We start from the raw sequence: 9,921 nt of genomic DNA on the forward strand, positions 1-9,921 counted from the left end.
GCTGGAGTGCAGTGGCGCTATCTCGGCTCACTGCAACCTCTGCCTCCGGGTTCAAGTGATTCTCCTGCCTCAGCCTCCTGAGTAGCTGGGATTACAGGCGCCCGCCACCACGCCCAGCTAATTTTTGTATTTTTAGTGGAGACGGGGTTTCACCATGTTGGTCAGGCTGGTCTTGATCTGCTGACCTCAGGTGATCTGCCCGCCTCGGCCTCCCAAAGTGCAGGGATTACAGGCGTGAGCCAACACTTCTCGCCTGCAGTACATAGTGTCTTCTTACTGGGGAATAACTTAGGAAACTCAAATAAGAAAATTATCTGGTCACAGGAGTAACAGAGAACAGGCTACTGTTGGGCCTGTTTGTCTAGTTAAATGATGTATGTGAATGTTCTCAACATTGGCAGACAAGGAAAATGGAGAGAAAATAGAAAGAAATACATGCAGTTTGATGATTTTGGCATCAGTTTAAAGCTCACAAAGTCAAGGAAGCATCCACTCACATCAGAAGCAGAATTCATCAGTTACCACACAGTGTTCTTACTCGGGAAACTTTCCCACGCTCACATCCTCTGACCATCAACATGTGGCAAGCAAAACCCCCCGAATCTGAGAGGGTTGTTTTGCTTAAGCCTGCACAACTTTGGACATGGATACTGAGCCAAAATGTCTAAAAGCCTGCCCAGCTGGGTAGGAACATTTCTTAAGCAGATTTCCTTAGAAGACTTCCTGATCTTTGTGGTAATTTTCTTTATTTTTAGATGTCCGCTCACTGTAACATCTTTTACCAAATTATCCGTGCTGACTCCTGCTTATTATTCAGGTGCCTGCTACCATAATTGCCTCTCTGAAGGATATCCCCAACCACTTCATCTAAAATAAAAATGCCCACCTTTACCAGTCATTCTTTATACATTTCCATGATTTATTTTTACATAATATTTACTACTATAAACATAATAAATGAATGAATATATCACTGAATAAATGAACAAACAAATGAATGAGTAAATCACTGAAGAGAGACCTTGCTTGAAAAACTAGCTTTAAGTATCTCTCCTGTAAAATCACACTGATTTTCATCATTTTGTTCTATTTTCTTAATATATTCTCATTCTGTAAAATTATTCTTTTTGATTTTTTAATGTTTAGTTACGGATACATAATCATTGTGCATATTTACGAAGTACGTGTGATATTTTTATACAAGCACACAATGCGTAATGATCAAATTAGGGTAACTGGGGTGTCCAACACCTCAAGCATTATCATTTCTTTGTGTTAGGAACATCGTAAATCTACTCTATTTCTCCTAACTAGAATCTGAATTCAGTGATGACAGAGACATCTTAGATGTCTTGACAGAGACTTAGTTGTCAATAATTATTTTTGGAATTTATGTTTTGAATACTTTCTACATTATTGTCCTTATATTTATGTGAATAATACTATTAAAAGTTAATAAACAATAAAATTGCATTCATTCATTAGTATATTTGAAAAGGTCTTTGAAGTAGATTCTATAATCCCAATTTTTATGTGTTGAATAACTTGATGTGCAATTCCCATCATGCTGTAGTTACCACTTTATGAACAAATAAGTAGAATTTGTAACAAGGAGTTGTAGAGTAAATACAAAGAGAATTAGACAGGTCCAAGTGAGAGAGTGAGACCACATCCCACAAAAAGTATTATGTGGCAGGCATCTAGAAGAGAATTGGAGGGAACAGAATCAGGCAGAATAACAATAGAGAGGTTATTGAGAGTATTCAAGGAAGGGTAAACTATCCAACTTAGTGAATACAGGATGCATGTTGGGAAGCAGTTATAGGTTACATTGGAAGGGTAATTGACATTCATTTTAGAAGGCCTCAGATGTCAAGTTAGCAAGAATGTACATATTAATAGCTGGTGAGAAAACAAGAGCACTGCAAGCTTTCAGACAGAGAAATTACATAACTCAAACTCTTCTGTAGAAGTGTTTAGAAAGTAAACAAAGGCAAAGTATGCCTGGCAGAGTGGGAAGGGAGGGTTTGAAAATAATCTAGAAGACAGGCACTGAAAGTTAAAGTCTCACAGTTCCCTTTGTAAGCGTGGGTTAAACTCTGGAGACTGACAACTAGACCACCATTTTGGAAAGCATCCTAGCTGGCCTTGGGAACAGTACACCTTGACCTAATTAATTAATACTTAGCTACTACTCCTCTGCGAGCACCAGTTTCTTTCCTGTCTCATCTCTGTTTCTGAAATGCACTGTTGTGAAATTCATGGCTGTTTCAATACAAGGATTTCCACAGGGGCCATCATTTTAGAACCTGATCATCCTTCCTGCATTACAGCATTTTACCTCAGCTGCATCTTGGTACTCCTTCCTGACTCTGATCTTTTCCATCTCAATCCCCATGGAGGATGCAGACTCAGATGCAATCACTTCCAAGGGAAGCTGAGCTGGTTCATTTAGGACTGAGAGAATATGGAACAAATTATAGAAGAGGAGCCTGCCTACTAAGAATTTCTCAGTAATTATTAACTTAGAATTAATAGTTATTAAAACTTTATTAAGCATCGGAATCACCCAGAGGACTTGTTAAAACACAGCTTGCTGGGCACCTACCCCCATTGTTTCTGATCTCTTTCAGTGATGGGGCTGACACTGCTTGTCTAGGTACCACACTTTGAGAACCATCACTCTAAAAGAAGACTGTATAGCTGCATCGAAAATCTTGCTCTTCCTGATGTCTCCTAGATTTAGTAGCAGAGAACTCAAAGGCACATATTGTTTTTAAATAGCTGTGGATGGTATGAATGGATCATTTGTAAGCCACAAGCTATACTGAATAAGAATTCATCGTCTGTAGAAAATACTTTACTATTCAGACTTTCAAGAGGTAATAAAATGCTGAGTGTCCTTCTTCAATTAAATAAAATAACTCCAGCTGATATCTAGGAATAAAAATGCATAAATTCATGAGTTAAAATTATGATTACAATTACATACTTGAAACTTCCTTAGGTTAACAGTTAATGTATTTTGTGAGTGGTAGCAATAAAATGTTGATTGTACTTTATTACTACATTACTGCTACTGTAAATCTAAATTGTCATTGGCATTGAAATAGCTTACTTTTATCCATGAACAATAATGACTTTATTCCTATCAGCATGATAATGATTAGCTCTCATAAAGGTAAATACAGCCATTATTAATCCATCTACTAATCATTCTTTCCTGCTATAGTGGGTGGGATGATTGACTCTTCAGATTAATTCTAACAACATAGGTTCCTGTATAAAAAGAGACATAAACTAAGAAGGGAGAGCTGCTTATGTAAAGAAGCACTAATCTTAGGTCTTAGTTGAAAGAAAAATAACCTCAAAATTTCCAATGTTTCCACTTAGCAGCAAGGAGAAAAATATCTCATAAGTGTCATATAATTTCTAGGACAATTTTCTCATTGTCCTTGGATTATTAGTATTGGATACATTTTTGACATATTTTAATTAGCAATTATATTTATTACTCCAGGTCCTTTCACTGTTGTATTCCTTCCTATAGCTATTTTGACAGCAAGTACTCTAAATATCCCTAAGTACTCAGAAAATTTTTATTTTGTCTTTAGCAGGAAATTCCACTGAAACAAAATAGAACATACCTTTATGTTCTATTGAGAGAGTGTGGAAGAAGAAAATTCTGTATTGGTTTTGACTAACAACAAGCTGCCGGAAGATCTCTTTTTCTCCTACAGGTTAATAAGGAGAAAGTAAGTAATAAGAAAGATAAGGAGTGGTACAAAGCCAACAGAACTACTTCTCAGTTTATCCCGAGACTGTTTTTTTAATTATAATTATCTTAGTTTAAGTGAATTTCTGGTGTACTGGCCTTGAATATATACAAATGAAAAAATAAAAATACATTTCAAGGTAAGTCAATACAAATTTATATCGTTTTGAATATAGATATATTCGTCTAAGAATTTTCTTTATATCATGCAGAAAGATTAACAGGGATCTTATAGACCTAAATGTAAAAGCTAAAATTATAACACTTATGGATGAAAACATTAAAGAAAAGTGTCAAGACCTTGGGTTAGGCAAAGAGTTCTTAGATACAACATAAAACACTGTTTTAACATAAACAAACTTCAAAAACATTGTGACAAGTGAAAAAAGCCAGATGCAAAAGATTACATATTGTATGATTCTATTTATATAAAATATTCAGAAAAAGTAAATTTATAGAGATAAAAAGCAGATCAATGGTTGCTTAGGGCTGAAAGTAGAAGCCGAGATTGACTGAAAAGAGGCTTGAGGGAAATTTTTTAGTGTGATGGAAAAGTTCTAACGTTGGAAATTGGTAATAGTCACACAACTCTAAAAATTTACTAAAAATGTATTGACTTTCACTTACGGTGAACGAACTTTATGGTATCTAAAGTATACTTTAATAAAGCTTTAAAAATATATTGCAAGGTCAATAGAAAATGTACGATTAATCACAACTTGTATACTCAAAACTGAAAATATTTTAAAACTTAAGAATTTTAAAAATATTTTAAATATTTTAAAAATGTTTTAAAACTCTGAAAACTTTATAAAATATTAAGCATAATCACATTAATTGCTGACATACTTCCTAATTAATGAGGAAAAAGGAGTCTAATTATGATGTTTATATATTTGACCATTGAAATCACCAAGTCAATGTGATTCATAACTTTAAGTTTATTGTTTGTTCACTTATTTGTTTTTAATATTGCCTGTGTTCTTCAGAAATCTTGGTAATAGCTTCAACTAATGTTAGCAATAATAAAAATAAATTAGTTTCCAAATTTTAAAACAATCAATTTAACAAATATTTATTGTTACTATACAAGGCACTATAGAAATCATACTTATGAATATATTTCTCAAATTTGTGTATCTTGCCACTTCCTAATTGTGTGTGTTGGTGGGTGTGTTCATGTGTGTGTGAGAGGATAAAAAGAGAGAGAGAGAGAACTGAAATGAAAATATGGCTATATTAATGATCTAACAAAGTTAAACTTAAAATATTCTCATACAGGCAGAGTGCGGTGGATCAGGCCTGTAATCCCAGCACTTTGGGAGGCCGAGGTGGGCAGATCACCTGAGGTCAAGTGTTTGAGACCAACCTGGCCAACATGGCAAAACCCCATCTCTACTGAAAATACAAAAATTAACCGGACGTGGTGGCTGGTGCCTATAATCCCACCTATGTGGAGGCTGAGACAGGAAATTGCTTGAACCTGGGAGGTGGAGGCTGCAATGAGCCGAGATTGTGCCACTGCACTCCAGCCTGGGCAACAGAGTGAGACTCTGCCTCTGGTCCAATCATAAATGGTAGACCATAGGACGAGGTCTTCCTGCATACCTTCATTCACCATTCAATATCAAAAGTGAACTGATAGACTAAGTGGTAATGGGTGCCTCAAACATATACTGTACGTAGATATACAAAACCATACTCAACGAGTTTCCAGTTCATCAGCAAGGTCAGTAATTCCAGAATAGTTATTAGCAGCATAACAGTCACACATGCCATGTTTGAAATCTTTTGACCAATGGAGAAGTGACAACTTCAGAGGGAAAAACATGTGCCAATTATTTGCTTATCTAATTAGTAAACACTCTTTGTAGGTTCCTGACTCAACCTCTTCTCATACTCTTACAATGAAGAGATTGATTTTCCTGGTCTTAATTGCACTTCAATTATGCTTCTCCTTTACTTTAAACTCTCTAATTAGAATATTGAATATCATCTAACAGACACATAAAGTTTTTTTTTCTAAATTGAAGTCACTTACCTTCAATTATTTCCCAGTAGCAAAATGATAAATTAACAATGAATTCTGCCATATCCTGAGTCCATTATCATTCCTTTGCAGTTATATATATATGTGTGTGTGTGTGTGTGTGTGTGTGTGTGTATACATGTATGTATATGTAATGTTAAATCATTTGTATTTACCAGTGAAACCAATCAACCAATCAATTAAAATCCCAAATCTTTCATTTGGCAGATTGAAATTAGAAGCATAAAGCATTTTGTCAAGATATAACTATGAAGATATTTTCATTACTAAATATACAAATAGGCCAGTTGCAGTGGCTCACACCTGTAATCCCGGCATTTTGGGGGACCGAGGCAGGCAGATCGCCTGAAGTCAGGAGTTCGAGACCAGCCTGGCCATCATGGAGAAACTCCATCTCTACTAAAAATACAAAATTAGCCGTGTGTAGTGACACATGCCTGTAATCCCAGCTACTTGGGAGGCTGAGGCAGGAGAATCGCTTGAACTCAGGAGGCAGAGGTTGCTGTCAGCCAATATTGCACCACTGCACTCCAACCTGGGCAATAAGAGCAAAACTCCATCTCAAAAAATAAGTAAATAAATAAATAATAATATATATACATTTTCATACACATATACTTGTCTAAATATGGCATATAAATCTAAATAAATAAATGGATATATCCATCTCCTTGTGTATAATTCATATTTATATTAATATATACTCATTCTCTTATGTAAGCCCTTCCCCTTGATTATTGGTGTGACCTGTGACTTACTTCTGTCCAACAAAATGCAGTAAAGATGATGGGATATATGCAATTACATGCACATGATTATATGACTGTTGTAAAAGATTGTAGCACTTGTCATGCTGGAGTCTTTCTTTCCCTTACTGACTTTGAGGAAGAAACACTTTGCATAGCAAGGAACTATGGGTGGCCTCCAAGAGTGGTTTCCAGCAGTCAGCAAGAAATTGAAATCCTCAGTTTAACAACCAAAAGGAAATGAATTCTGCCATCAACTTGCATGAATTGTGAAACAAATTCTTCCCCAGTAAAACCTCAGATGAGATCACAACCCAGCTGACATGTTGGTTGCAATAAATACATTGCAATCAATGATTTGGATTGCAGCATAAAACTAAGGTGTATCTAGTCTCCTGACACATAGAAACTGTGAGATAGTAAATGTACATGGTTTTAAGCTGCTAATTTTTTGGTAATATTGTTATGCAGCAGTAGATAACTCATACAAATTTTAGTACATGGAAGTCTGATGCTGCTATAACAAACACCGAAAAATTTTGGGAGTTGTTTTCGAACCAGGCACTGGATGCAGGCTGAAATAAATTTTTGAAGAACATGATAGAGAAAACTTAAATGTCCTCAAACACACCGTTAGTAGAAATACATGGAAAGAGTGCTGTCAGTGAGGGCAGTTCAAATATTTTAAGTGTCTTGTGATATGTCCTTTGACCATGGATTATTTAGAAGTATTTAGATTATTTAGAAGTATTTCTAAAAACTTGGAAATTATTCATTTTTTGCTTATTTATTTTTAATTTATTACTTTTTGGTCACAAACATCCTCTGTATGATTCATGTTGTTTGAAAGACATTTTTCTATTCCTACCACCTGAGATTACAACTTGATATTTGTCCTCTTCTGGCTTATATTGCTATGTACTTAAGTTCATTGTTCTTTTATTCTGCCTTGTTTAATTTGATGTCAGTTTCATCCAGTTAGTTTTTCATTTTGATATTGTAATTTTTTTAGTTTAGGAAGTTCCATTGATTTTTTTCCCTATCTTCCTTTTCTATTCTTCTAATTTTCTTGTTTAAATTCTTAAGCACTTTCGTAATAGTTGTTTTATTCCCCCTTTCTGCTAATCTTATCATTTCTGTCATTTCTTGATCTCTTTCTGTTAATTGATTTTTATCTTGATTACAGGCCACCTTTTTTCTATTTCTTCTTTCGTATAGTAATCATTGATTGAATGGCTGATATTTTACCATATTGATTGAATTTTACTCTCTTCCTTATTCCGTTTCCAGGGGTAGTTAAGTAACTTATAAATATTATTGATCTAATCAAGGTTTAATTTTAGGCCTTCCAAGGGCAGAACTAGATTAATCTTTGAAGTAGGTCTAAGTTAACACTGCTACCAAGATTTGAATTTTCTGGGGTCTCTGAGGCATTGGAATCTTTCCACTGTGTCTGCTCTGAAGTCAAATATCTCCCAGCCATGCATTTATTCTAGGAATTGTTTATGTTCATCTGCTTCACAGTTCAGCATTGTAGAATCACATTCTGTGTATTTATTTGCATTAATATGTTCAGCAACAGACATGAGGAGACCCCTATTCAGGTTTTCTACCCTCCTGCCTGACACTCTCTCTCATAACTTTCACCTTCTCATACAACATTCTTTGTCTTCCCAACAGAATAAGATGATTTAGGTTATACTGCTCTACTTAAGTTTCATCTCTTTGTGCCATGGTCCATTTAGTGTCTTCAGGCACAAAGCTGAGGTGATTATGGGTATCATCCTTTTTGTTTTTCTTCTCACAGATATCACAATTCTGTGCAGCTCATTTTTTCAATATTCAAAATTGATTTCCCCCACTTTTCTAGTTGTTTCAGCAGTATGTCAAGTTCGCTAACACTCATTTCAAAATTGTATGGCCGGAAGTGGAAATTCCTCATTCTTTATATATTGACATATTTACTCTTCAAACTGAGTGGTTAACTATCTTGCCAAATGTCACTGTGCAAGGATTTGAACATAGTATGCCAGATTCAGAATCTATGCAATTAACCATTATAGCAAAGTGTGTACAATAAATTATAAATGGTGCTTTGTAGCCTAAGTAGAAAACACAATGAAGGGAGTGGCAGGAGATGAGGTTGGAGAGTTATGTAGGAGCAGCCACATTAAAGACAGTACTGCGGGCAGTGTTAAAGAGTTTGGTCTGCTTCCTATAGGCCACCAAAAGCTACAGGATAATTTGCAGGAAAGAGCAACTTTGTCAGACTTTTTCTTTAGGTATTATTCTGGGAGTGGTGTAATGGATGGATTTGGAAACAGACCAGAGATAGGAATGCGATTCATTCTGCGTATGAAATGATGTGCACAATACATGTAGTCACTGAATTTTTAAAAACTAATTGCTAAGTTTCAAAGCTTTCTTTGATAAGCATGTTTAAAATTTTCATATAAGAACAGCTATTTTAAAAGTTAAATAAATATCTAGAAGCCAATGACGTTATGATTAATACATTCAATTACTTTGTCATGAAATTAAAGTTGAATCTCTGAGTCCACTTATTATTAAAGTGTTTGTTTTTCTTTAAAGATGGTTAAAAATATTCTTTCTAGTTGGAGAATGCCTAAAAACGAAAGTTTTCTTCCCTTGGGCAAGGCATACCTTAGCAAACTGAAGTTAGGTCCTCATCTGTAGATTGAAACACTGGGTAACTAAAGCAGTGATATGTCAAACTTCTCTGGCAACTGATTTCTCTTTATAAGTGAAGGCTGATTCAGAAATGCAATAAGTATTGAGAAAACATTGGGCAACCCTGCCTACATAGTCACTGTTACCCGATTCCAAGGCATCATTGCCCTTAGGACTCTTCTTGGAATCCACACTAGTAACTCAGTTGGGAAATCATTAAACTACATAATCTAAAGTGAGGTAAAATGTTATCCAACTCATTAATGCATATATACAGAGGATAAACACACACACACACACACACACACACACACACACACATAGTGTGTGGATCATTTAACACCTAAATCAAATGGTCATGGAATAATTATGTTTGTTTTATCTGTTTACAAGTAGCTAATTTACCCCCAAACTGTGGTAGCTTGAGTAAACACAGCTTACAAAAGTTTGTAAGTGATGTATTACAAAAGCAGTACAGATCAAATGACAATTCAAAGTAGTTCTCAAACTCATAGGTCAGCCATGTCCTAAATTCTTACCTTAAAACCTTGATCAACAATTCTTATAAAAATACCTTTTTCTAGCTCTAGAATATTAATCTTGTCATCACGTTACATGTCTTAAAGAAATTCTGAGAGGTTTCTGTGTGATTCTAAGGT

General features: G+C 35.1%; 1 long non-coding RNA gene across 3 annotated transcripts in view; it reads left to right on the plus strand.

The window, feature by feature from the left end:
- The window catches only part of LOC105377406 (uncharacterized), a 129,167-nt gene extending 120,036 nt beyond the window's left edge, over nt 1-9,131 (plus strand). For 2 of the 3 annotated variants that reach the window (XR_001741813.2, XR_001741821.2), the window contains 2 exons: nt 3,615-3,755; nt 6,033-9,131. This is a non-coding gene — a long non-coding RNA (uncharacterized LOC105377406). The remainder of the gene's footprint in view (nt 1-3,614; nt 3,756-6,032) is intronic. The other variant, XR_001741814.2, reaches the window with a different exon arrangement.
- Nucleotides 9,132-9,921: the final 790 nt, after the last annotated feature.

This window comes from Homo sapiens, chromosome 4 (genome assembly GCF_000001405.40).
Source record: "Homo sapiens chromosome 4, GRCh38.p14 Primary Assembly".
NCBI lineage: Eukaryota > Metazoa > Chordata > Mammalia > Primates > Hominidae > Homo > Homo sapiens.